The following is a 27,908-nucleotide window of genomic DNA, read 5'->3' on the forward strand; positions in this document are numbered from 1 at the left end:
AGGAGTTCGAGAGCAGCCTGGCCAACATGATGAAACCCCATCTCCACTAAAAATACAAAAAATTAACTGGGCATGGTGGCTCAGGCCTGTAATCCCAGCTACTAGGGAGGCGGAGGAAGAAGAATCGCTTGAACCTGGGAGGCAGAGGTTGCAGTGATCCAAGATCACGCCACTGCACTCTAGCCTGGGCAACAAGAGTGAAACTTTGTCTCAAAAACAAACAAACAAACAAACAAACAAACATAGAACCATCGTTAGCTAAAGAACTAAAGAGAGTATGTGGGAACATGAATGATCCCTTTCCCTGAGAGGTATGGCCTGCTGAGACATTGAACCTGCTATTATGGCATTGATTTTGCTGGCTCTAAGCCAGAGAAGTGGGGTTTGCTTTTTTGGATCTAAGAATCAGGTGCAGCTTTCCCTTAGCTCTCCAAGTCTGCGGGGATGAGGGAGCAGAGATAGAGCGTTATTGCCCTAACACAATATGCCTAGGATTTAACTGTCGGCCCTGATTTTCACTCATGCATATAGCCATAAATAGAGTGTTAGGCAGTAATGCATGGATTTGCAGGGAGGCTCAGATCTTGCTTATGTGAGGATAGGCTGTAAGTCATTTCTGGAAGCCGAGAGAAGGAAAAGAAATGCTAGGAGAAGAGCCATGATGTCTAAGTGAAGCCTAAAAATGCAGTTTGCTGGAAACCAACTGCACTGGAAGGTGCCAAAGTCTGAAATAACTTTAAAAAATTAAATGTGGGGAAGCTGATGCATCAGCTACAGTTCATCATTGGTTAGGAGCACAGAATCTGGAACTGGGCTTCTGTGATTCAAACCCCAGCTCTGCCACCTAGTAGCTATGTTACCTCCAGCAATTTCATCAACCTTTCTGTCCCCATCTCCTCAATGTGTAAAGTGAAGATCCAAACAGCATACACCTTCTAAGGCTGTTGTAAAGATTACGGGAGTTAACACATGTAAAAGACACAGAACAGTGCTTGGCACATTGTAATATTTGACAAGAGTTCAAAAGCTTCCATCTCCACTGAGGGATGGCACAATGGGAGTGCTCTCAGAAAGCCTTCTTTGAAGCTGCTGATCTCTTGTAGCAATTAGGATAGGCCAGGTTATGCTTCAAAAACAATATTTAAATTTGAATATCCCACGTTGTCAAAGGAATTCAGATGGAAGAATGAAATTCTGTGCTTAAACTTTCAGAAACCCAAGGGTGATCTCTGTCATTTCAAATACTTGAAGTTTGTTAAATGGTTTGTGGAAGAGTCAAGGGCTATATTCAGGACCGGGAGTAGGGTGAAGCAAGAGAGGCCCTAGGGTGTAAAACTTAAGGGATCATCTCTGCAACAAAGGACACAATAAACAGTGTGAAAAGGCAATCCATGGAATGGGAAACAATATTTCTAATCATATCTCTAATAAGGGGTTAATATCCAAAATATGTAAAATATTCCTGTAACTCAACAATAACAAAAAACCCAAATAACTCAATTAAAAATGGACAAAGGACTTGAATAGACCTTTTACAGAGAAGATACATAAAAGGCCAACAAATGCATGAAAGGATGTTCAACATCACTAATAACTAGAAGAAATGCAAATCAAAATGACAGTGAGATATTGTCTTACACTCATTAGGATGGATACTATATTTTTTTTAAAAAGACAAGATAACAAGTGTTAGTAAGGACATAGAGAAATTGGAACCCTTGTTCATTGTTGGTAGGAATGGAAGATGGTACATCTGCCTTGGAAAACTATATGGTGGTTCTCCCCAAAATTAAAATAGAATTACCATCTGATCCAGCAATTCCACTTCTGGGTACACACCCAAAAGAACTGAAAACATGGCTAACATGGTGAAACCCCATCTCTACTAAATATACAAAAAATTAGCCAGGCGTGGTGGCAGGTGCCTGTAGTCCCAGCTACTTGGGAGGCTGAGGGCAGGAGAATGGCATGAACCTGGGAGGCAGAGCTTGCAGTGATTGGAGATCGCGCCACTGCACTCCAGCCTGGGCGAGAGAATGAGACTCTATCTCAAAAAAAAAAAAAAAAGGAATTGAAAACAGGGATCTGAAGAGATATTTGTACACCCATGTTTATAGCAGCATTATTCACAATAGCCTGAAGGTGGAATCTCCCCAAGTGCCCACTGATAGATGAATGGATAAATAAAATGTGGCTTATACATAGGCATTAAGAAGGAAGAACATTCTGACACATGCTACCACACAGATCAACTTTGAAGACATGGTAAGTGAAATAAACCAGTCGTAAAAGGACAAATACTGTATAATTCCATTTATATGAGAAACCTAGAATGTCAGATTCATAGAGGGAGAAAGTAGAATGGTGCTTGCCATGTGGTTGCGGGAGGAGGCAGCGGGGAATGCTATCTATGGTTTCAATATGGTTTGTTTGTTCGTACCAAAACTCATGTTGAAATTTGGTCCTGCGTGTGTTGGTGTTGGGAGGGGGAGCCTAGTGGGAGGTGTTCGGGTCATGGGGTTGGATCTCCTAAGAATGGTTTGATGCTGTTCTTGTGATAGTAAGCTCTAGAAATGGATTTTTTCTATGAGAATGGGTTGTTATAAATCTAGGGTGCCCCTCAGGTTTTGCCCTTTTCACACGTGTCCATTTCCCCTTTGATCTTCTCCACCACATTGTGAGGCAGCAGTAAGGCCCTTGTCGGCAGCCAGGGCCATGCCCTTGAACTTCTCAGCCTGCAGAATATGAACTAAATAAACCTCTTTTCAATCTCTGATATCCTTTTATAGCAACACAAAATGGACTGAGCCAGGGAGTTATTGTTTAACGGGTAGACTTTCAGTTTGGGAAGATGTAAAAGTTCTGGAGATGGATGGTGGTGATGGATGCACAACAAGGTAAATGTACAAAATGCTACAGAGCTTAAAAATGATCAAAATGGTAAATCACTTAAAATCGTTAAAGTTGTAAATATTGTGTACCTTTTACCACAATTTAAATGTATCTAAGGAGGTGTCAATTTTAGGGTCATATAAATGTAGGGTTGGCATTTAGTTCCTCGCCTGGGCCCTGCTGGTATCACTCTGCTTTCCCAAACTTGTCTGGATGTTCCTCCCAGATTGAGAATGAGGTGACTAGAACAAACAATAATTATCATCATTGTTACTAATATTAGAATTCTTTTTCTTTTTTTAGATGGAGTCTCACTCTGTTGCTCAGGCTGGAGTGCAGTGGTGCAATCTCGGCTCACTGCAAGCTCCGCTTCCTGGGTTCAGCGATTCTCCTGCCTCACCCTCCCGAGTAGCTGGGTTTACAGGCGTGCGCCACCATGCCCAGCTAATTTTTGTATTTTTTGTAAAGACAGGGTTTCACCATGTTGGTCAGGATGGTCTCAAACTCCTGACCTTGTGATCCGCCCACCTCAGCCTCCCAAAGTGCTGGGATTACAAGCATGAGCCACCATGGCCAGCCTAGAGTTCTTTAAGATATGCGTTCCATGGATGCATTACAGGATGCCCACAGTGATTCTTACCTGCATGGCTACTTCTCATGGCAGGACAAAGAAGGTATATGGCATAGAAAATAAACAGTTTCAAGTAGATAGGGCTAGGAGTTTGGAGTCAGTGAGGAGCTCTGAATGTACTCCAAAAAGTTGCATCACTTAGTTCACTTTGTTTACTTTATATAGTTGAAATTAGGGCTTCTGAATTCCCATGCACATTTATGTAAGATAGTCTATAAATAAGGACATCCCCCCAGAGGCTTGGAAAATTTCTGTTTACTTCATGTTTGTTTCCTTCAGCATAAGGCTTGTAAAAGAAAGTTCCCGAGGTAAGCTAATGAATTGTGTACTTTCACAGATAAAGTGTAAGGAAAGTTATAGGTGTGGTACCTGACAGTAGGAAAATTAACAGAGATACAGAGTATGAGGCAAGATGATAGTAATTTACCAAGGGTACTCAGCAGAGAGGCGTGAATGAGGACAGAGTCACACTGTTAGTTGACATCACTTCTTTATGGCTTGCCTGAATATGAGGGGAAGGTGGGAAGAGAGAGGGGAAAGAAGAAGGAAGGAAGGAAGGAAGGACGGAAAGAAGGAAGGAAGGGAGGCAGGGAGGGAGGGAGGTAGGTAGGGAGGGAGGGAGGGAGGGAGGGAGGGAACTTTGCATTCAACATGTCTTCTATTTCAGCCAATGTCAGCCCTCCATTCAATCTTGCCCCCAAGTTTGATCCCATGAAATCATATCTATACTAAACTTCCTTCTAAATGTTTCTTCAGCGCACACATTTCACAATCTTCCTTCAGCCTCCTTCATTCCATTTGGGTTTCTGTCATTGTCTACCAACTAGGCTTTCTTGCTCCTTTCAACCCACTTCCCCTATTGCAAGCCATCAGTAATCCGGTAATCTTCCTAAAAGCGAGCTCTGTCCACAGCCCTCCCCTGCCTGCAGTGAATCCCAGGATCCCAGCTGCTTACCTGGCCTGGCCATGCCCCGCTTCCATCTGGAGATCTGCAGTCCATCCATATTGAACCCCTTTGTTTCTTGAGTGAACTGAGCGCTGCAGTTTCTTGGCTTTCACACCTGCTGTTGTCTTCACTGGGTACACCTCTGACCTTTTTGTTTCCTGGAACCTACTTCTCTTTGCCCTGTGTCTGGCTGAATCTTACTCACGCTTCAAATCTCAGCTTAAAAGTCTATTTCTCTAGAAAAGATTTCCTGAAGCTCTCTCCCCCAACCCTGATTCGGGTAAATGCTTACGCCAGGTGCTTCCTCCACCCTGGAACTTACCTTTGTTACTTATTTGATTGTTTTTCTCACTAGCTTGAAAGCTCTGCAGGGGCAGGGACTGTCTCTGTCAGGCACATTTATTTGCCAAGTGCCCAAAATGCAGCAGGTTCTTTGAATTTTGAAATGAATGGCTGTGTTGGGTGGCTCTGTAGGACACTGCTATGGACGGCTCTCAGTCGCCTGACTCACCAAGACCACCACAGGCTCTGGAAATTTGGAAATGTACCCAGTGGCCTTTCAAGTTTTGGTTAATCTCACTTTACTAATACTTTGAAGAGGCCAATGACGTTGCCCCTCAGTTCAAAGAGCAATTTCACATCTTTCTTGAGCCATCTGCTACGTGAACCTCTGTGAGTTGGACTGGGTGGGCACCAAATGGCAGCCAAAAATTAATCTTTTAGGGTCTCCTTATCCTAAATCTTAGAGCATTATAATGGCTGTCAAGAAATTCATAACTTCTGCGTCTTATCAGTAGAGAAATACCGACGTCTGTGGGTGGCAGATAAACAGATAACGGAGTTTTGTGGGCTTTGGGCATATAATTCTTTCTTTCGGTGTTAACCCTCAGGTCACGTCTTTCCAGCCCAGGAGAATAAATCAAACAGAAAGAGTCAGGAGAAACTGCAAGGCTAGAGTGTTAGTCAAATAGTTTACCTAGATGTTGAGGTGTCGGCAGTGATGAGAGTCATTGGGGTGGCAACCTCATCACGGCATTTAGAGCTGTTGCCCAACCCCTCCCTGAGACACCCCCTTCCAGTTTGAAGCCTCTCTGCCTTCAGGGCCCATGGTTTTCTAACTTCCTGCCCTTCTACTACCTGGTAATTCCTTGCTACCTTTGCTGCTCCTTCCCCCTCCTGTCCCTGAGAGGAGGGCCTTTCCCTGGTGTTTGCTTCTTACTTATCTTCCCTCTCTCCTCTCTCTCTTTCCAGCAATCTTGTCACTCCACGAGGGTTCAACTAGCTGCATCTCCTCAGCCCCATCTTTCTTGAGACTGCAGGGTCTGAATTTCTGAATGGAAATTCCTCCAGGCAGGTGATTCTCAATCTTGTCTCAAAATTAGAATTGACTTGAGGGCCTTAAAAATTCCAATGCTGAGGGCATATCCTGAACCAATTAAACCAGAGTATTTTTGAAATGAGACCTAGATATGGGATATTAAACTGACTGTTTTACTTATACCCAAGACGATTACTTTCACAATTCATTTTCATCTATCAATGGAATCACCATTTTTCTTGTCTACTAACTTAAAATTTTTAGAATTATCCTAATTTTTCCTTTTCATTTGTGTGGTACATGTCAATCAATCCATAAAACCTATTCTGTTGTTTCAACAATGTGTCTCAGGCATGTCTCTCATTTCTGATTCTACAGTTTTACTCTCTTCATGCCGTTATTATTTCTGATTTCTGTTACAGGCATTTTGGTTGAATAAGAACTAAGGTTTGAACAGGAAAGATGAGAAGAGCAGGAGATGAGATACCCTCTCCTCTCCTAGTCCTCCACCTCCATCCCTCTTCAGTTTGGATCCTGGCTGGGCTGGACCCCGCATGTTGACAACAAGGATGTGTTGTGTGGCATCTTTTTAATTAATTTTCATATATGAATTTACAGGTAGGGTAAGGATTTCTTCTGTGGAAAATGGTGCTGAGATTCCAATCCCTGCTGAGTTGAGGTTATAAAGCTATGGTTGACCTGGATGATCTCAGTTGAAGGTCATATTTTGGAAACGGTAACAGTGGCTCTGGTAGGGAGTTCACAACATGGTTGGTTCTGAGCAGGACCAACCATGTGTTAGGGAAAATATTTATTCAATAGAAAAATGAATAAAAACCAGAAAGAGAAGAAGAGAATTGCTGATTCTGGAAATGGCAAGGTGGCTGGTCCTGGAACTCAGCTTAGTCCACCCCTTGGCAGTTTTTAATGTATTCTCAGGGTAAGATGTGTACATGTATTTGTAAATGAGGCATGAATTTAAAGAACTGTTACTTCTGGGAACCCAGGAAGCTTTGCTGAGGGATCTTACCCTGGAGAGCACAGTATAAAAGAAAGTAATTCTCTCTCTTGCCTCATAGCAACTACTTTGGGGAAGGGACTTTACAAACATCTGCCCCAAGGCTGGGTGACAGCTGCATATCTGTGCAGTGTTTGTACGGGGCATGCAATACTTTACACACTAGCAGGGACACCTGCAGCATCAGTAGGTTTCTGGTCTACCAAGAGCAGTGTGATGATGCACTCCAGGCCAGCTGGGGTGGTTGCTGTGGCGAGTAACATTGTTAATTCTACCAACACAGGGGGCTGATGGGTAAATGACACTGTTGGCATCAGCAGTGGGCATGGTGTGCTAACCCTTAACACTGTGCCAGGTGGGGATGTTGGACCCAGTGGGGATTACAGTTTTGCTATCTGTGTGTAAGAACAATGCTCAGAACAGTGTGCAGCATGGGTTGTGCAGTGCACGACAGGGGCATGTGTGAGCACTCAGCAGATTATTGGAACTCCTTGGAAAACTGGACCAAGACCTCCAAGGCAGAAGGGTGCTTGGGGATATCACTGGAACTGTGAAATAACCATACATAAAAACTAAGACATTGTGATCAAAGTACATAATGTGCTGGCTAGTTTTTATTTTTATATTGGTTTATATTTTATTTTGTTTCCCATCTCTTGTCACTCCAACTTATTTGAAGCACTATTGTCAAGAATGACATTTTAAAGCATAATTTGCTGGCCAAGTTACAAATACTGCTCACCCTTGCTTCCACTCCAAACAAACAAACAAACAACAGCAACAACAAATGCTCCCATTTTCTATACTATGTCCAACATCCTCTAGTCTGCCATCTGCAAGCCTTCATGAGTGGGTAGTTCCAGGGATATTTCTCATTAGTCTCTTTCACAAACAGGTCCAGCAAAGAGAATTACTGACCCTTGCTCTCACGCTTTCTGCACTCTCCTGGCCTTGGGACTGTGCTCCTTTTGTTTACCTTCTCTCATTTTTTCTAGCTCCAATCCTGCCGGTCCTTCAGGGCTCAGATCCAATGCATGCCTTCCACAGTGCCCTTCCCACACCGCTCAGCTGGATGCAAACTCTTCCTTTTCTGTGGCTCCTTGTGTTTTTTTTATGAGGTTTTACCACTTTCCATCTTCTGCACTTATAATTTGTATGCATGGGTCATCTCCACTTATTAAGGATAAACCCCCTGCAGGCTGAAGCTTGGCCTGATATAACATTGCTTTTCTGGGCAGGACCAACCATGTGTTAGGGAAAATATTTATTCAATAAAAGAAAGAATAAAAACCAGCAGAAGGAACATTTCTATTTTTTTGCTCCTCACCACTGCCTCAGGGAGAACTAGGTGAGGTGTTTTGGGGTAGGAGAGAAGGGAGAAATAAGTGAGCTACCATATTTAAAGGTGACTAATGCTTTCCAAAGGAAATGAAAGCTTTGCAGTCATTACTATTTTGCAAAGCTTTATTTTCCCACTTAGGGGAGAGCTCTTCAATTTTGCAATCTGAAAAATAACTAAAAGCAACCACCACATGTAAGGCGGTCCCCACGGTCTCAGGAACTATTTTTAGGTCATTTGAACATGGTTTCGGCGGTGAAATGCTTCTCCAGCTCAGCTTCAGTGCCGTTTTCCTGACTCATGTTCGTTTCTCACGCTCCCTCTGGCCCGAGCCCATGCTCTTTACCTCATTCGTGTTATGCCATTTCCCCATTTGACTGTCCAAACTGGCACATCTGACAGTGGGCCCATAGCCACTTCCCTAAAACGTCTCCATGGGTGTCTGCAGTTTGTAGAACTTCATGGCCATCTGTGGCTGTGAGGAGCCAGGGGCCCTGGAAACTGCGTAAGGGTGGGGTTGGCAGGCACCAAAGAGTCTGAGCTCCTCTAACCAGGGCGTGAGCAGAAATAGAGATGCTTCCATCAACAGGATCACATCAAACACCCTCCTTTAAGTGTCTATATTTGATTTGTTCTAGCAAAAATGGGGCTTAGTGGACCAAATACCAACTTAGCATTTTTCATGAAGGACGAAATCCCAAACCACCTCAGCTCCCCACTGGGCACTGGGGCTCACCCAGTCACGTTCCTGCTGGTGACAGGTCTCCATCCCTTCCCTCCACTCCCTTCATTACCAGTACTTTAATGTCTAATCCAAGCACATAGAGCTGGGAACAACACGTGAAAGATTTCAAAGTGCAGAGCTAGGTCAAGCTTTGTGCATGCCCATCCATCCAGCATTTAGCTGAATGGTTTTGCACACACTGGGAATTGAACAAATACCTGGCCATGTAAACACAGTGGAAAGACAACTGGATTTGGAGAGAGGAGACCTCAGTTTTAGTTGGCTCAAGTACCAGCTTTGCATCTCTACCCCACCTCTGCCATATGACCATGGGCATGTCATCTACCCTACTGGAGATTTAGTTTTCCAATGCTAAGTCATCTCTAAGTCACCTCCCATTGTTCACACTCTCTGATTTTATTTGTGGATTGACTGATGTTATCATCAGTTGGCTAACATCAACTCCCCTGAGTTACCAGCAATGCCACCAACTGGTCTACCTGTCTTGTTCCTCTTCAGTCTAATGTCCACACTTCAGCCAGAATCATCTTTCTAATCAGCTTTCTTACATAAACCACATCATTTCATTCCTCTGATTATAACACTTTTCTACAGAAAAGCACTTGGTTTAAAAGTCCAAACGCACTAATGTGGATTTACGACCTGGCTTTACCCTGTCCTCCAATTCAGCCATACCCTCAGCTCCTCCAGCCCTTTGCAGATGCTGTTTTTTCTGCCTGAAGGTCTTTTCCATGTCTCTTTTGACCTATTCTTATTCATTCCTTGGGCCTCAGCTTAGACAGTGCTTCCCTTTAAGAAGCCAGTCCTGCACATCTCTCTGTGTGCCCATAGCATCCTGGGCTTATGCCTATTACAGTCCTATCACCCTGTCTCCCACTGTCTGTTATGCTCCTCTTTCCCGGACAGCCTCTAAAGGTAGCAGGTTTCCTGAACTTCACTGTATCCTCCATATTTTAGCACAGTGCCTGGCGCTGGTGAACCACTGAATGGATAACGATGCACTTGTACCTGGCTCCCATCCTGTGGCATTTCTTTCTCCAACATCCTAATTACCTGCATCATGGGGACACCCGCCCAGGTACTGACAAACCAACCTCCTGGCCTCTACTACTCATTTTTATAGCCACTACAATTTTCCCCAATAACAGCAGTGGCCTTAGGTGCTTTTCATCTTCTTCATCCCCAAAAAGGAAAAGAAAAACAAGGGTCAGATATGTGAACTGAAAATCAACTTACAAGTCCTTAGGTAGAAGACATTAGTAAGTAAAAGGTAATAACATATATATGAACTACCAGATTTACACTTGGCAATAAAAGAGTAAGTTAAAGACCACCAAAAAAAATACAGCATACAAATTCATGTGTATAATCAGCTAGATTCCACTTTGCTTCTCTTCAACACATGCAAGAACAACAACAACAAAATCTTTATGTGTCTATACTCTTACCCCAATCCAGGTCCCAGATACTCTGTCTTTAGGGATATATTCCTTTGTATTAAGCCAGATATGGCAAACACATAGCATATATCTTACCACTGTCCATTGTCATGCTATTGAAAGTCATTGCCAAATAATCACACAACTTTTTCTTGGTAATGCCTCAGAATCCTTTTCAACAGAGTGCTCCAGACATCAACTATCAGTAGGACCCAAGCTTAAGCCTCGTTCTCTGAAATTCCCTTTGTTAAAATGTAAAGGCTTCAGAGGCTGAAGAACAATATAGAGCACTGGAGTCTGGGGGTAGATTTATTGAGCAAGTGCTTTCTTTAAGATGGGAGAAGAAAGATTTGGGTACTCAGGGAAAGAGGGGCACAGAAAGGTGGGAGGGGTAGACACCACAAAAGGGAAGGAAGGGCTAGGGAGAAAACAGCAGATGAGGTCTGGGCACCAAGTTTATTTGCTCTAAGACAGAGGCTGGTCGAGTCCATAAAACAGGCACTGCTAGAGCCCATGTTCTTTGGAATGCACTCTCTCTCTCTCTCTCTGCGCTTCCATCCCTGACAGAGCACTGAACTGAACTAAACTTCCCCGCATATAGGGATCGGAGGGTTGTCCAGATTGTCACACATGAATAGCTTGTGTGAGTCTAGAGAAGGAACACTGATTAGCTTCCAATCTGCAGGTCTTGTGTTCAGCAAGCCTCTTTCTTTCAGAAGGAACAAAAGCATGGTGCTAGATGAGAAGGTTATAGAATGGAAGAAAAGTTTCCCACTCACTGGGTGAAAGGCCAAGCACGTTCCCTTGATTATAGACTATTGGGCAGCGTTTCTGAAAATGAGTATTGCCAGGTGGTTGAATGACGAAATCTAGGCCAGCTACAGAAATCATCTCCCATGCAATTGCCCAAATGCCTTCTAGGAGCTCTGATGCCAGCTGCTGATGCAAATAAGCCCATAATGAAACAGGCAACAGGAGTGGACAAACCTAGCATGCTCTGCCCACTAAATGACTTTTCAGGTAGAATGTAGTTAGATGCCTCAGATCCCTCAGCCATTCAAGCATGTTCATTGAAGATAGAACCAAGGAGCAACATTTTCTTGGGAAAGCAAGATGAGTGGCTTTGCAATGATTAATTCTTCACGAGAGAGAGAGGGGAAGTTGTGACTTGCTGTGTATGTGTGTGCACACCTGCATGTTTCTGTGCTTGGGAGGTTTCCATGAGCATTAAAATCAAACAATAAGAATGCTTCTTACCTGGAAATGTAAACATGATTAAATCCTTATTAAACCAAGATAAAGGGATTCTGACAGAACAGTACACATTTCTGGAACTTCCCTCAGGGTCTTGAACGACAAGCCTAAGTTGACTTTCTCCATGTAATTCTTACCGGCTGATGTAAGCAATGCTGGCAGCAGCCAGCAAGGTGAGTCCTGTCTTCTTTGATGGATAGGAGTGAGGCCTGAGGACGACTTCAGCCAATGTGATGGGGAATATGAAAGTGTGCTGCAGGAGAGAAAATGGCAAATCAGAATGGCAGGGTGTCCAGGGTGCCTACAGTGCCCATAATTCTCTGTTCCCCTTCCAGTCTACCTCTTACACACTGCTAGATGAAGCTTTCCAGGTCATGCTCCCTAGATGCCCAAGGACCTACCGTGGCTCCCTCTTACCTACCACATTAGTCCAAACTCCTCTGTCTGGCTACCAAGGACTTTGCAATGTGTCTCACCCTCTCTCTGGTCCTGCTTATTGCCCACTGCTCCCCTCTCCCTACTTTTTTTTGGCGGGGGTGGGGGGTGGAGATGCAGTCTTGCTCTGTCACTCACCCAGGCTGGAGTGCAGTGCCACGATCTTGGCTCACTGCAGCCTCTGCCTCCCGGGTTCAAGCAATTCTCCTGCCTCAGCCTCCTGAGTAGCTGGGATTACAGGCATGTGCTACCAAGCCCGGCTAATTCCTGACCTCAAGTGATCTGCCCGCCTTGGCCTCCCAAAGTGCTGGCTTGGCGGCTTGGCGTAAGTCACCGTGCCTGGCCCTCTCCTAAAACACACACACACACACACGCACACACACTCATGCATACTCTCATAAACATTCACACATTCATGCACAAACATGCACACTCGCACTCAAGCATATATAGTCATGCACATCCATGCACTCACACACACATGTTCATGCATACTCTCACAGATATTCACACATTTGTGCACAAACACGCACACTAACACATATACACTTCGGCATATTCTCACACACATTTGTGCACACACATGCACATGCACACATCCATACTCTTGCACTCTCACACACATTCATACATTTGTGCACACATACACACACACAACCCCCCTGTTAGACCGAGGCTGTCTCCTTCACCCTCCGTTGTGCTCAGCATGCTCGCTCGCACTTCCAGCCTCCTGTCCCTGCTTCCTCTCCCTGTGTGGACTGTGCCTTCTCTCCCTGGGATTCAAATCCTCTATGTTCTTTGCAGCCAGTGCAATCTTCCATGATGCTGTCTCTGAATTTTCCTCTTGCTAATTTCTCTCAGTCAACTCGACTGCATTTATATCCTGTGCCATGTAGTCTAGCACTTATGGTGTATATTCGTACGCTCTGGGGGGCCGGAGAACACGTTCCACCCAGTTCTGCGTTTCTTGTTGCATTTAGCATGGTGTAACTGAGCTCAGTCCTGCTGAGGGTGGTAAGTGTGTGGGGTATGCGTGAGCCTCCCTCTGAAACCCCTATGTCCTCCCCCTCCTTCCCTGCATCACCCCCTCCTTATAACCATCTGTTTTCTTACATCCTCCAAACCCTTAACAGTAGAGTTTTTAAAATGACATAATCAAGGAAATAACTTTAGGAATGATGGCGTTTTCAGATGCAAAGACTGCTGCAGCCTGCTCCCATCTTGGGTTATAGAAGCTGACCTGGGAAAGGTCACTGGAGTATGTGTGCCATGTGTTTTCATTTATTGATAACATTTATGAAGTCCTTCTGCCACCCTCTGAGCTTACTGGAAACATCTAGTAGTGCTAGTATTTTGCGTTTTTTGTAGTTCCAGCTATCATTCCTCCTTCACTCCTGCTTGCCAATTTCCTCAGCTCGTGGCTGCCTCTTTCACCCACAGTCTCCACCTGCAAGCTCCCGCCCCATCTTGTTCCTGAGCCCCAGGGCAGCGGTGTTGGCCCCTCAGTTAGGGCAGTCTCTGGAGCTCGGGAATGTCATTGCGTTCCCATGCCCAGCAGTGCAGCTGGAACTCTGGGTGCTGGCTCTGGGCAGTCTTTGCTGTCATTCACAAAAGACTTGTGCTCAGGAGGCATCCCCAGGAAGCAGTAGCTTCCTCCCATCCGAGCTGATCTGGCTACGGCAGTCGGATATCATAATGACCCACAGATGACCAGAAATGGGTCAAGTTTTGGTGAGGCAGGAGCAGGGTGAGAAGGACCAAGCTGTAAGTACAGGGCAGCACTGGGTGAAGAGGACCTCTCAGGGTGCCCCAGTTAAGGCCACAGTGGGGTGGCCCAGAGCACCTGGGCATCTCAAGGGCCCTGGGCACCCTGAATTTTACTAACGATGCCTAGAGGAACAGCATTGCAGACAAGCTACAGCTTTTACATAATTTGCTCAAGGTTGGTCCTGAACATACTGACTGGTTGGAGAAACAAATGGAAAGACTCCCAGGCCCCCGTCGCACCTTGCATATTTCTTCAGTCTGATTTTAGGCTGCAGCTTCTGTGTCTCTCCGTCTAATAAAAGAGCATGGCATCTAAAGGCACACAGTTTCTAATCTAACCCTGGGCTAGTGACCAAATCTCTCTGAACTTCAGCTTCCCCAGTTATAAAATGGGGACAATAAATAGTACATACCTCTAGTGATGCTGCTATGGGGATTGACGTGAGTGCGTGTAATATGCTTAGTCTTTGGCCCTGGAGAGCTTCAGTGAGCATTTGCTGGGGTTGTCACTATTATCAGTGTGACTGTTGTCTTTCATCTCATCGGTGGGCCCAGGGTGGGGTGCAAGCAAGGGCCTGGGATATCCATGGCTTCAGGTGCTTAGATGAACCCTGGCCTGTGGTCTGCAAGAGGCTGTGGCATGCCAGCTGCTGGAGTATGGTTGTCCCTGGGGCTCCCTCCCCAGCCCACAGCTGGTGCCTGCGTTCCCAGTCAAGGCCACCTTGGAGCCCTGCTGATGCTCAGTGACCAACAGGGATGCTCTCTTCATCCAGAGGCCACCTCAGCAGGCAGGAGATGGAGCTGTCTCCTGGCACAGCCACCTGCCCCTCTCTCCCAGCCTTCACTCTGCTGAAGCCAGGAAGATCCAACCTCTATTAAAAACCATTAACAAGCCCATTATACTGGCCATTGATCTGATGAATTTTATTAACCCTGCCCACAATCAGCAGCTCCCGTCCTCTACATTAACGATCATTTGGAACAGAATTCCTGTGGAATAATGTAGTGTGTTCGCGTTAGGAGTAAATGAGTTCGCAGTGCTTAATGCTTTTATAACAAACAACTCAGGAATGCATGACTGGTCACCTCTTTCAGGAGCCTGCCCTTTGCAAGTGACATTCAATTGGATTTCCAAATGAATTCTCCCTGATGGCTTCTGGGAAATTTACTTCAGTGATGTCATTAGTGATGGGCCATATACCTCGACTTCATCCTAGCTAAAAGGTCTTTGCAAGAATCACATTTTCCGGTCGGGGCTGGGGTAGGAAGTAGGAAAAGAGCCTTCTAAATATTGAGCGGCAGTGAAGAGCTAAACATGATGCAATAAGCCTTCTGGTGTTTCAAGCGTATGGGTATTTCACCTCACTTTGACATAAATCATATGACCTTTGTCAGACAGCACATATTTCAAAAAAAAAAAGGAAGAACAAATTCAGTAAGAGAAAAATAAAATATGTTTTTGCTTCCAAAAAATCTAATAATTAGGCTGCGATTGACACAAATTAGAATGCTGCCAAAAATTACTGGAAACACTGACTCACTCTGTATTTCAATTAACAGTTTCTCAGTTTCCCTTACAAACAGTGAAGCTGACAAAAATTAATTATCTCAGAGGGGGTAAAATATTTCCTTCCAAAGTAAACAAAACATCATGGGCTGAAACAATAGCATGCGTAAACAGAGGGGATCTAGTGGAGCTATCTTTCCTTGTCCTTAAAGTCACCATTTTGGTAGATTTTCCTTTAAATGTCTCTTTCCAAATGCAACGGTTATAAAGAGATGTTCTTCTCCCATCCTTTTCTACTCAATTATACCTTCCCCCCACCATCCTCCATAAAATGCCAACTTTCACCTAAATATCTTGGAGTGAGAACTACAAGCATGAAGTATTGATTTAAGTATTAGTGTAATAATCACAGTAGATTCTCTGCTTACAAAATAGCCTTGCAGATGATAAGTACTAAGATTTACCAGCCCATGGAAAATTTGTACAGGGTTGCATGAGTGACAACATGGAAAATAGTGATAATGATTTGAGCACTTGTTTGTACTCACCCCCTACAGGTAGATAAGTGGCTCCATTAAACAATTTCCCTGCATATGAGGCTAAACTTACAGTAGGATGAAGTTTGCCTGACCCTTGAGAAAGAAGCAAGCCTTAATCATTGAGGTAACACATGGATCCGACAGGTCTTTATCACTGTCATGGAAGCTCCAGAAACTGAATCTTTAAGGCTAGGCTGATCACACTCTTATCCTAAGTTTCCTGCGGGGACAAGAGCACTTAATTTTCTCCAGTGAAAAAAAATTCAGAGAGCCTACATATTGCAAAATCAGATGATAACATAAAAAATATATAATCTCTGCTTCTTTCCTCTATTTCATTTCCCTTCTGGACTATCTCTTGTGTTGAGTTTGAGTTGACCAAGATAAATACACTGACTTTGACCCTCTCAGATGGGTCATCAAGAGGCTTTCTCCTTCAGATGTTGTTTCTATATCACCTGCTGCATATTTGCCTTAATACTCTCTCCCTCTCCTCTATTCAGGCCACATTCCGATCTGCGAATTAGTTCCTGATATTGGCTCTTCCCAAACTGAGGTCCTTTCCTCCAAGTCTCTGCAATAATACCTTTGGTTTGCTTATGGTACTTACGGATAAATATTTTTAAGTGAAGTTTTAGTGCACTAACAAGATCTCATTTCTGAGTACATTAAGGAGGATTTCTTTTGTTTACAATATATCAAATATATCATTTTTTTAATTTTAGAAAATGGAAGCCTTCACAAAATCTCTTTGGGGAAAACACATGACCAAAATATCAATTAAAACATAAATGTAAATACAATAGACATAGAAATGGAGGCAAAACAAACCTTAATCGAATGCCATCATATCCAGGCTTATTATTACGCTGCTGGGTCACATTTCTTAAGCTTGAAAATTGCATGCGATAAAGGCATGCAGTAATAGTTGTTTTGTAAATTCCAGTAAGGCAATCTCTGGTTTTGATAATACCATCCATTTGCCAGCTAAAAACTTTTACCTCCTTCCTCACTAACTTCCTGTGCTACAATTTCTGCCTCTAACTCCCTACAGGTAGAGACAATGGTGATGGTCGGTGACATTTTTAGGAATATTTTGTATCTGAAAGCAGAGACCATCTGTATTCTCTATGTTTCTTACATCATTAAAGATACAGTTTTGCTTTAAGTAAATCTGATATCTGGAAATCTGGAAATGTGCACGTAGGCTATAGAGCTTATGTCTCTATGGGACTTAAAAAACAACAACTTCCAACTATGCTACCTGTAGGAGTCTTTTCAGTCTCAAAGACTGAAGTTTTTAAAGAGAATTGGGTTTGTAAAAATTCCCTTTTCTACTTTCTAGGAACTCAAGTGCACAGGCTAGACACTACTGTCATTAAAGAGTCAACATTAAAATTCGTGGGGAGGAAGGGATTGGGGAGCGAAACCACCCACAGAAAGAGCCACTGACTTCTCTTTGATCTCCACTGTCAACCTAGGTGGGCTATCACAGGTTCCCCAGCCTGCAAACGCAAGTTATATGGCAAGGAGTAGTCATGTTTGCAATTTACTCTGAAATGCACCAAAAACAAGATGAATAAATGGATGCACAGGTGGAGAGATTTGTGAGAAAGCAAAAACAGTAAACTATTAACAGTGGAATCTACGTGGTAGGTGACCCAGCTGTTCACTGTAAAATTCTTTCAACCTTGCTTTATGTTTGAAATTTGTCATAATAAGACATTGGGGGAAACATGAATAGTCTTTACTGATCTGGAAAGAGAAATGAATGCCCCACTGGGCCAAGGAAGAAAAGCATAGTGTTGTTTATGAACTCTTATGTGACTTGAACAGGTGGTTAAATGACAACTTTATGAATCTTCTGAAGAGAATTTTTCAGGGATCTTTTACTTACTACACTGCTGTCCTTTGGGTTAATATGTCTTTTGACCAATATCTCAAAGCATCATTCTATTACAAAACTAGTTGGCTTTGAAGGAATCCAGCCTGGTGAAGAAGCGACAATTTGGATTCTATCCAGTTAAGGATAAGATTTTTTTTAAAAAAAAAAGATATGGGATCTTAGGACCCTACAATCAGGAATCAGGAATATATCCACCTCTTCCTGCCCCCTTCCCCTCTCTCTCCACCCCTCTAAAGTATCCAAATCCCTTCTTCCTATTGAGCTCTCTCTGGCAATAATAACACCCTACACACCTGCTGTCAGTGCTGACTCACTCCTTTACTCCTCACACTCAAACTTCATTCACTTTTCTACCAAAATGCTTCCCATAGCTGCTTATTCTTTTATCTTCCCAGGCATCACTTCCTTAGCTTTTCCCTATTTTGGTACCTACAATCACTTAGCTTTTCCCTATTTTGGTACCTACAATCACTTAGCTTTTCCCTATTTTGGTACATATAATCAGGTGCATAGTCTGGTACGTTGCAATCGGGCAAACCTAAAAAAAAAGTTTTAATGTTGCTACTCCCCAGCATAAAAACCTTCTGTGGCTCTCTATTGCCTCTGTCCACTATCTATACACCTTCCCTCATCTCAGAGCATCTCAGCAGGCTCCCTCCCTTCTACTCAGTCTCCTTATTATCCTTTTGTTTCAACCCATTTTTCTTCTCTAGTATTCTTCCCTTTTTTCATTTTTTTAACTCTTTAATTTTTTCTCTCCCAATTAGCCCCATACATCTTTGAGACACCTTACTAAAAAAGCCCATTTATTAACATGAGAAGATAGAAATGAAAATTAGAACTCAGAAGAACACTGAAACACAAATACACCAACCAGAAGGCTTACTGGGCTTCTATTGTTGAGATTCAAGTTTAGCAATATGTTCCCAGACAGATAAAGTAAAAAGAGAGAGATGAAATGTACACACTTCCTAGTTTTTGTTTTTCAGAGAAATTAAAGTTTTCCCCCTAGGCATTAGGCCTGAAAGAAATTACTACCACTGCATTTTCATTTTAGCGAGACTAAGCCTCATAGTGACCTCAACAGTGTCCCCATAACAAACAGTTCAGAGGTCTAGTTTCCATAAACTGATAATATCTGAAGGCAAAATAACGAAGCTCAATCAAGTGAAGGAGATGCTGCCAGTGAGGAGGTAATATTTTATAATTTTGTAGCCTTATGTGATCTGAGCAGTACAGGAACTCCAGAAGTACCATTTTCCCCATGGGTGTTTTGTTTGTTTTTGTTCCAATTGTGAATCGGACACCAGCCAGGATTTTATTCTTTGTTTAAAGCCTCAAGTGCAGGCATTACCACTGTTGATAACACAGTTATCTAAATACTTGGAGAAATTAAAAGAGTCAATGCTAATGTTGAACCCTTTTATTGCAAATAAGAAGCCTCACCAAGGAAACCATCCCCAGCCCTTCTGTATTTGCAAGGCTGTGGCCCGTCCTGCCTTCTCATGGGATGCTCACTCTTCTGTCTGTTCTGCAGCCCCTTTGGTCTGCACTCAATGCTTCAGTGCTTAACAGTATTCCATTTGGTTTTTCACACTGTCAATTTCATGTGTTTTTTTCCCCTTCCTTTTCTTAAAGAGATGATAAACTCTTTGAGGGCAAAGCTCTCATTTATTTTTTCAGGACTCCTCTCCAGCCTCTCCTTAACACACATTTTGACTCTTTTTCTTGTGCACTTGTCCACTGTAGGATCGAGTCTTTAATGTGGTCTGCAGAGGTCCCAGGGATCTATCTTTCTTCCTGTGCCCACCCTCTAATTACTCTGCTCTCCCACCTGAAGACCTGGTTTCCTCTCTCACTGTGGATACAGCACTCACCTGTCCCTCCCTCCCTCAGCCCCCTTGGCCTTCACATCACCTTACAGGGCTCAGTGGCCCTTAGCTGAATCCTGAAACTCCAGCAGGTGCCCTTTCTTGGCAGAACTGAAGGCTCCTGTGCTCATTCCCATCATGACATAACACTCGTACGTTCGCCTAATACTGACCAAAGTCTTCCAGAGATGGAAACAACTCAAGGCTTAGGGTCACCATTTTCTCTCTAGTGCCTACCACATTGTTTAATCTATTCTGGCCACTTAACATCAGTGACATTAATGAACGAATCAATGAAACAAAGTGGGGCAGAAGAGGAAGAGAGGTCTTCTGCACAGCCTGGGAAGCCAACCCAGACTTGCTTCACTGGATACCAGCACCCACATAGCAGGCTGCGTCCAGGATGGCAGGGTTGCAGAATCAACCCCACTTCCAGCTGGTGACCTTAAGGATTTCTCACAGCTGTAAATGGCACGCCAAAGCTTGGAAATTGGTGTTGGGAGTCAATACACTTGGATATTTGTCCCCTCCAAATCTCATGTTGAAATTTGATCTCCATTGTTAAAGATGGGGCCCAGTGGGAGGTGCTTGGGCCATGGGGGTGGATCCCCTATGAACAGCTTGGTGTGTTTGAGTAATGAGTGAGTTCTCACCCTTAGTTCCCATGAGATCTGGTTCTTAAAAAGAACCTGGCACCTCCTCCCCTCTCTCTTGCCTCTCTTCTTCTCTTTCCATGTGACATGACATCTCCCTTGCTTTCTGCCATGAGGAAAAGTTCCTGAGGTCCTCACCAGAAGCCAGGCAGATGTTAGCAGCATGCTTCCTGTACAGCCTGCAGAACCGTCAGCCAAATAAACCTCTTTTCTTTGTAAATTATCCAGTCTCAAGTATTTCTTTACAGCAATGCAAAATGGACTAACATGGGGGCTACAGGAAAGCCTGTGAACAAGTATGACTCTTGGAAACAATCAATGGGTGCCCACTCTATAGTCACTAAATGGTAGACTCAATGAAAAGGCACCACTGAGCAGGAGCTGGCAGCCCTACAGGAAGTCAGAAGATACAGAGCCAGCAGAGACTGTCCTTTGTTGATCTTGAGACTCACTGGTCTGTGGCTCTACATTCTGAGATGGGGCCAGGTGGAAGGGCCCCCAGGTTTTGCTTGGTATCTCCTCCATGCCCCTCCTCTTCATCAATCTGTAATTCACCCTCCTCCATGCTTCTTTGCCTGGCTTCACATGGTGCACATGGAGACTTGTTTTAAAGACAGAAACAGATGGGCAGCTCTCTGGAAAGCTGCTCCAAGTTGGAGGAAGGAGATTGTTCTTTTAAAGAAAGAGGAAGTTTAGGAAGCATGGGATCTACTCTCACTTTTGGGAAACTGTGTCTCAGGGCACTATCCCTTCGTTTCCAATATCTCATCACGATGTCAAGTAAGGGCTCAGAGTGTGTAAGCAGCTGGTTTCCCTGGGAGATAATAGTGGTTCTGGAAAGCACCCTGTAAGCACAAACTCAGGGGCACAGTTCCAAACCTTCCGCATGACTGATCCCATGACAGATGTTTCCACACTTTCTCCTTCCTGCCTCTGGCCTTCTCTCCCTTGCTGACCTATGAGGGTTTTCTAAAGGGATGTGCAGGCTGTTTTGTGAGAATGGCATCTACTCATTGGTGATTTTTCTAAATGCACATAATCAGTTGATTTAGGGTTAGTCAATCTCTCTCTCTCTCTCTCTCTCTCTCTGTGGGTGTGTGTGTATGTGTGTGTGTACCTCTTGCCAGTGGAGAAGGGAATGGCTAAGAGTAGGGCCTAAAAGTAAAAGACAAGAAGTTGTTTTCCTAGGAAATGCCTTCATTCAATACCCATCAAATATCTCTCGAGAAGCAGTTCTGCTTCAGCATTCTAGGTAACTGAAAGGTATATAAGATATGGTCTTTGAACTCAAAAAATATTAATAAATTTCAACTTACATCTATTGTAACCCTACAGTGTCAATCTAGGACTAGGTGAGTCCTAAAGCATTATGTAGAGGAGGCTCTGAAAGTGTTAGACGACAGTAGGCAGCACCACATCAAGCCTTTGGAGTTCACACTGAAAGACCACAAGTCCTTGTTTAAATCAAAGAATGAGTTATGGCAAAAATCTTCCTATCCTAAAAGACTCAAGGATTTCCCTTCAACAGCTTTTGTGACATTCCCAAGCTGTATCTAACGATCTCAGAATGTGCCACTAAATTGTGTTTTGTTATTTCAAAATAAAAGTTAATTTTAATTCCCTATTATTAAAAACATATAACTACATGTGAGAGGTTACTTTTTCAATTATGAACATTTTTTTTCTTTTTTGTTTTTTTTGAGACAGAGTCTTGCTCTGTCACCCAGGCTGGAGCGCAGTGACATGATCTCGGCTCACTGCAACCTCTGCTGCCTGGGTTCAAGCGATTCTCCTGCCTCAGCCTCCCAAGTAGCTGGGATTACAGGCGTGTGCCATTGCACCTGGCTAATTCTTGTATTTTTAGTAGAGATGGGGTTTCACCATGTTGGCCAGGCTGGTCTCGAACTCCTGACCTCAAGTGATCTGCCTGCCTTGGCCTCCGAAAGTGCTGGGATTTAGGCATGAGCCACCCCGCCCGTCCATGAACTTTTTTTTTCTTGCTAAGAATCCAAGAGCAAAACAAAACAAAAGCAGAAGGCCATCTATAGGCTATCAAGCTAAAGATGTCCAGTAGCATAGTAAATTTATGAGTTTGACACTCAGAGGAGAAATCCAGCTGGAGACAGAGGTTTGGGAGCCATCAGAGTATGGACATCACTGGGTTAAGTGGTAATAGATGAGATAACCCAAAGAGTATATGAGTTGGAGGAAGAATAAAGCATATAGGAGAAAGCGCTGTGGAGACACACCAGTTGAGTCAGGGTTTCTAAACCTCTGCACTGTTGACGTTTTAGAATCCATAAGTCTTTGTGGTGGGGGGTAGGCTGGCCTGCACATTGTAGGATGTTAAGCAGCATCCTTGGCTTCTACCTAGTAGCAAGCCTTCCCCACTCCCCAAAGTTGTGACAATTAAAGCTGTCTCTAGACATTGCCAAATGTCCCCTGCAGGGCACAATCCATCCTGGTTGAGAATCCTTGATTTAAGAAATAGGCAAAACAAAAGCATTTTGCAAGGCTGATTGACAAGAGTGGTCAGAAAGTCCAGAGGTAAGGAAAAGAGGGAAAGAACTATTTAGGAGAGATGTGTCCAATGTTGTGGAGTGGTATTCAGGCATGAGCACCAAATCTACTAGGTTTCCAGACAAGAAGGCTGTTGGTAAGCATGCAGGCCAGGCGCTTGCCCCTTGTGTTTCCAATGAGCCTGTCCTTCCTTCCAGGCTAAGTCCTCCATTTCTTGTTGAGTGTCTGGGACCTTTAGGGCTCAACCTCCTGCTCAGCGGATTCTTGGATGTGGAGCCAGGAGCCTGAACACTGAGGGAAGGTCAGCATAGAGATGCTCCCCAGAGGCCACTGCCGTCAGTTCCACAACCCCGAGGTTGGCTGGGAATCTTAACAAGTTTGTAAGTGTAAAATTTGGGCACCTGCAACGCAGGACCAGTTGGCAAGAAGCCCACTTGCTTAGAACCCACCACACTCCTGAGAACGCAAGCCTGGGGCATTGAGACAAATTCCCATGGCCAAGAAATGTGGCTCACTTCCTTATCATGGTCTTCTCAGGAAAAACTGAAACAAAATTTCTCCAAAGGTCACAAAATTCCTTCTCACCACAGAATAATACAATGTGGCTTTTAGGAGTTCCTAGTTGTGTTCAGAGGGAGATGCTGAAGACACACACATGCTTTTATTCATAACCAATTTGTACCAGGCGAGCTCTCCAGAATACCCCTCTGAAATGATTGTGCACTTTTTGGTTTCCAAATTCAGAAGACACAAAAAGCACAAGGGTTTGTTTTGTTTGTTTGTGTAGGGCACTTTAGCTTTCAAGCTGAATTTTCATGGGTAAATTAGTTTCTAATAAAAGGAAGAGAAACGCTGAAATCTCCTCTGTTTTTATGAGGCTTCTCTTTTTATTCTGCCCTCAACATAAGAAGAAACTTGATTGCTATTGGACTGTTAAAACTCCAAATTCCATAGCAGCCATGAAAACACTTGTTCTGTTTCTATTTGTGGAATTCCACAGGCATGGATTTACTTTTCATATGCACAACAAATGAACCTCATTCCTAGCTTCTTTGCCCATCAACAGGAACCCCTGGTTGGATAGCATCAGGTATGTCTCCCAGGGCCAGCAGCAGCCCAGCAATAGTGATGAGGAGGGAAACTGACCTATCACAGGCTTTCACAGAGACAGAAAGGGGCTGTTTCTTTTTTCAACTGTTTCTCCTCTTCCCCTGATGGCCTCTCTTTCATCTGGTTACTGCCATGATCATGTCCTTATTCCTCTGCTTAATTGCAGACTCTGCCTCCTTTTTTCTTTGATTCACTAATTCTTTGGAGACATGAATACACAGTTACCTAATTAACATCTGACCACGGTGGATGTACAGAGGAAAGTATCAGCCTAGAAAACTTTCTGCCAGAGAGTATATGCTTTTAGCTACCGCACCAATCAGAACAGACATTGATTCGCCTCAAGCAAAATATATGTAATTATGACTCTATGCATCTCTTTGAACGTAAGTCAGTCATGATTAGACCACGTGTCTCAGATATAACAACCAAAAGCCCTATAGATATTTCAAGGCACTGGTAAGCTTCCTAGCAGTGTCCTCATTTATAACTTTCTGTATAAAAGAACACTCCAAAGTGTCCAAATATACAGTGTCAGCTACAGACGCTGACACTTGGGTTGCTAAAGGCTTTCCCTCTGCCTCTAATGCTTCTTGGCCCCAGCACACCTCACTCCACCCCAAAGGAAGAAGAACTCTGGGGTCAGTCAAGGTCATAGAGAAACTACTGAAGTAAGAGATGAAGTCTTCATTCATTCTCTCATGCCATAATCATTAAGTGCCTACCACATACCAGGCATTGTGTGAGGTGCTAAGGATCAGAAGGTGGACAGATGTGGTCCCTGGCCTTGCAGACCTTACAGTCAATGGGCAAGATTTCCTGTGAGCAAGTAGGGAAACAGATACCAATCACAATATGTGCTATGAAGGAAAACAAACAGGAATCTAGGTACCAGAACACAAGTGGAGGCACGTACTTCATGGAAGGCAGTCAGGAAAAGCCATTCTGAGAAGACCACGTCCAAGATGTGTTCTAAAAGCTACAGCTGAGCCATGGGAGAGCAGATGGGGAGCATCTTGGGCAAGGGTGCAGTACGCACGAAGGTCCTGTAGGAGAATGAACTTCAAGAGCTGCAGGGCACAGTAAAGCCTGGAATGGCTGGAACATGGAGTGCCAGGGGGAGAGAAGCTCAATCTGTGTCTGCAGCATTAAGCAGGGCCCAGGTTTACCAGGTTTTGTTGGCCATAGGAAGGAGTTCAGGTTTATTCCAAGTGAAGCGGGAAGCCACTGCTGAGTACTAAAAAGGGAAATAACATTTTGCAATCGATTTTGCCATGGTCTGTAGAGGCCTGAAAATGAAAGCTGGAGGACCAGTTTGGAGATGTTGTATTTAGGTGAGAAATAAATGTGGCCACGAGGGTGTTGGCAGTGGAACTAGAAAGTGAACAGATTTGCTACCTATTCTGGAGGTAGAATGGATGAGAGTAGCTAATGGAATGGATAGAGTGGAGGGAGGTGGCAGGGTCAATGCTGGTTTCTGTCTTGGGCAATTGGGAGGATGATGGTTCCATTTCCTGAGATGGAGATGCTCAGAACAGATGAGAATATAATGTATTCAGTGAGATATTATAATATAATACAATATATTCAGTGAGAATAGAATATATTCAGCTCTGTACATGTTGATTCAGAGATACCTACTGATATATACAGTAGCAAGGTCAGGTAGCAGCTAGCTATGCAAATCTGGAACTCAAGGGAGATCTGAGCTAGACACTCAGCACATGGAAAGAACAAAAGCCATGGGAATGAATGGATGCCAGTTACTGGGGAAAGGGCATTAGCAAAGCAGAGGTCCCATGGGAAGCCTGGAAGAACATCACCCTTTAGAGGGCAAGTGGGGGATCCAAGCGGAAACCGAGGTAGGAGAAGAACAAGGGAGTGTGGCATCAAAGGGTTAAGGAAGCAGAGTTTCAAGGAGAGAGAGGTGCCCAGTGCTGCTGAGAGGTGAGGAAGATGGGGGCAAAAACAGGTGCCCAGAATTTGGTAACATGGAGATAATTGGTGACTAGAATATGATGAATGATCAGAATAAGAATAGATCCTAAGTACAGGTCTGAGGGCAACACTCGGGTTATGTTCCATTCCAAGAAGCACACTTGTGTGCTTGAGTGACAACATCTGCCCCAAAGGAACTCCCAATTAGCCAACCCTTCTCCCACCTCTGTAAATCTTTGTAAGAAACAGTGCAGGGCTCAGGAAAATGAAGCTATGACTTGAGGTTTGCCTCTGCTTCGGGTGGTAGGAAGAAGGGTTGTCTTTCCACATCTTTACTTTCATCTTGTAGAGCGGTCAGTTCCAAAGACTGGAGGCCAGAGAACAGGACTCAGAAAATTGCTCAAGCAGCAGGTGCCATTCTGCTTCCAGTAAGGCCAAAGGGACAAAAGGCCCCAATATGATTCACAAGAATAAAAGAGGTTGGGAAATTGGGGAAAAATTAAAAAACAGCCACTGTGTTGGAAGAATTTATACCCTGGGACATTAGGCAGCCAGTGCAGGCCTGGGACAGACCTGAGAGTTTGGTTTCTGGTTAAATCCCTGAATGGCGGAAAATCCCAATTAACAAATAGGACTTGGATTTCACCTCTCCCCTCCTGAGGAGGCCCAGGTAGTTCTGTAGGCTTGTGTGCATAACTTCCATGCTGATACTAACAGCCAAGTAAATCAGGCAATCCTGGGTGCATTAAAACCCAATCCTGAGACTTTAATAATATGCAAACTAAATAAACAGCATGCACCAGGAAACAAATACAAACTCATCCTTAATTGTTACATTGCCTAGCCTGAAAGGCAGGCAATTTGAACACCTCAAGCAATCACGTTATGATCAAGAGCCTTTTCTTAATTGCCAGAAACCCTACGGGCCTCTCCTCCAGGAGAGGATCAGAAAGGACAACACTCCAGCAAATTCATCTATAATCACAATTTAGCATTATTACATAGCAGCCTGTCCCTAATAAAAGGATGAACAAAATGAATTCTTTAATCACTAGTTCTCTTTCTTTGCTGATGCCTATCCCTTTAAAATGAGTATTTTAGAAACTTTGCATTTTCCTCTGAAATGTACTCTGACCTCCTGCACATGATCCTCCCCAATCTATGTTATTTAATCTATTTATTTATTTACTTTGAGATAAGAACCTTGCTGAATCGCCCAGGCCGGATTGCAACGGCACAATCTTGGCTCTTTACAACCTCCGCCTCCCAGGCTCAAACGATTCTCCTGCCTCAAGCTCTCAAGTAGCTGAGACTACAGGCATGCATCACCACACCTGGCTAATTTTTGTATTTTTTGTAGAGATGGGCTTCGCCATGTTGCCCAGGCTGGTCTCGAACTTCTGGGCTCAAGCAATCCACCCGGCTCAGCCTCCCAGTGTTGGGATTACAGGCGTGAACCACTGCTCCTGGCTCTGACTACATTATTAACTGGAATTAGTGATTAGTTGCATAGTGTAGAAATCTGTGCCTTTAAGAAAAGTAGAGATGCTTCCAGCAGGGAAGGAACATAAGCTTGCACAAAAGGCCTTTTCACTATGTTGTCTCCCACATGAATCTAATCTACCCCATACCACTTCCAATGTATTCCTATATGTCAGGATAGTGTCTTACCATGGATTCAAATTCCCATTAATATTTTTTTCTAGTCAGTATTTCCTCTTCTACTGACATGGAGGTCATACCCTCCATGTGTATTATGAGAGTGGTTATTTTAGAAATTATAATGTGCTTATTTAACCTGGTCATGGCTGACATAGGTCACTATCTGTAGCCCCTCACCCCCCAACACTCCAACAGGACCTTAGAATACCTCTATTCCAATCACCCCCTCTCGGTTTACACTCTATTTTTGCTCAGCATTTTAGCTCATTTTGGGGGATTTTTTGTATTTTTAATCACTACATGTTGGACAAATTCTTTTCCATTGCTTTTAGTATCCAAACCTCCGTTCTGAGATCCTATTTCTTCTTTCTAGAGTATTCCCTTTAGCATCTCCTTCAGAGAAGACTTGTGGGTGGGG

General features: G+C 43.8%; 1 protein-coding gene and 1 long non-coding RNA gene across 8 annotated transcripts in view, besides 4 other annotated features; one reads left to right on the forward strand and one right to left on the reverse strand.

Moving 5' to 3' along the window:
- The window catches only part of ADTRP (androgen dependent TFPI regulating protein), a 65,281-nt gene that overhangs the window by 10,326 nt on the left and 27,047 nt on the right, over window positions 1-27,908 (reverse strand). For 4 of the 7 annotated variants that reach the window (NM_032744.4, XM_011514956.2, NM_001143948.2 and 1 more), the window contains one exon: window positions 11,720-11,835. In NM_032744.4, coding sequence (NP_116133.1) covers window positions 11,720-11,835 — 116 coding nt within the window. Of the gene's footprint in view, window positions 1-4,478; window positions 5,896-7,385; window positions 10,064-10,623; window positions 11,586-11,719; window positions 11,836-27,908 lie in introns of those variants that run through there. The other 3 variants (XM_047419418.1, XM_011514958.3, XM_011514959.2) reach the window with 3 other exon arrangements.
- On the forward strand, window positions 3,317-7,399 carry LOC124901258 (uncharacterized). Its single transcript, XR_007059452.1, has 2 exons — window positions 3,317-3,566; window positions 6,210-7,399. It is a non-coding gene; the product is annotated as an uncharacterized LOC124901258 (long non-coding RNA).
- Window positions 5,686-5,855: an enhancer, noted in NCBI's record as "experimental_88259 CRE fragment used in MPRA reporter constructs". NCBI's record gives its function as "activates a minimal promoter by MPRAs in K562 erythroleukemia cells, with activity observed for the non-introgressed 6:11729852 or rs2294427 variant allele {active_cell/tissue: K562}" and the evidence as "EXISTENCE:reporter gene assay evidence [ECO:0000049][PMID:34662402]".
- Window position 5,771: a transcriptional cis regulatory region, noted in NCBI's record as "Neanderthal adaptively introgressed variant 6:11729852 (GRCh37/hg19 assembly coordinates) or rs2294427 in the experimental_88259 CRE". NCBI's record gives its function as "modulates activity of the experimental_88259 enhancer by MPRAs in K562 erythroleukemia cells {active_cell/tissue: K562}" and the evidence as "EXISTENCE:reporter gene assay evidence [ECO:0000049][PMID:34662402]".
- Window positions 8,240-8,539: an enhancer, noted in NCBI's record as "active region_23992". NCBI's record gives its function as "activates an Ori minimal core promoter by ATAC-STARR-seq in GM12878 lymphoblastoid cells {active_cell/tissue: GM12878}" and the evidence as "EXISTENCE:reporter gene assay evidence [ECO:0000049][PMID:35858748]".
- Window positions 8,820-8,909: an enhancer, noted in NCBI's record as "active region_23993". NCBI's record gives its function as "activates an Ori minimal core promoter by ATAC-STARR-seq in GM12878 lymphoblastoid cells {active_cell/tissue: GM12878}" and the evidence as "EXISTENCE:reporter gene assay evidence [ECO:0000049][PMID:35858748]".

This window comes from Homo sapiens, chromosome 6 (genome assembly GCF_000001405.40).
Source record: "Homo sapiens chromosome 6, GRCh38.p14 Primary Assembly".
NCBI lineage: Eukaryota > Metazoa > Chordata > Mammalia > Primates > Hominidae > Homo > Homo sapiens.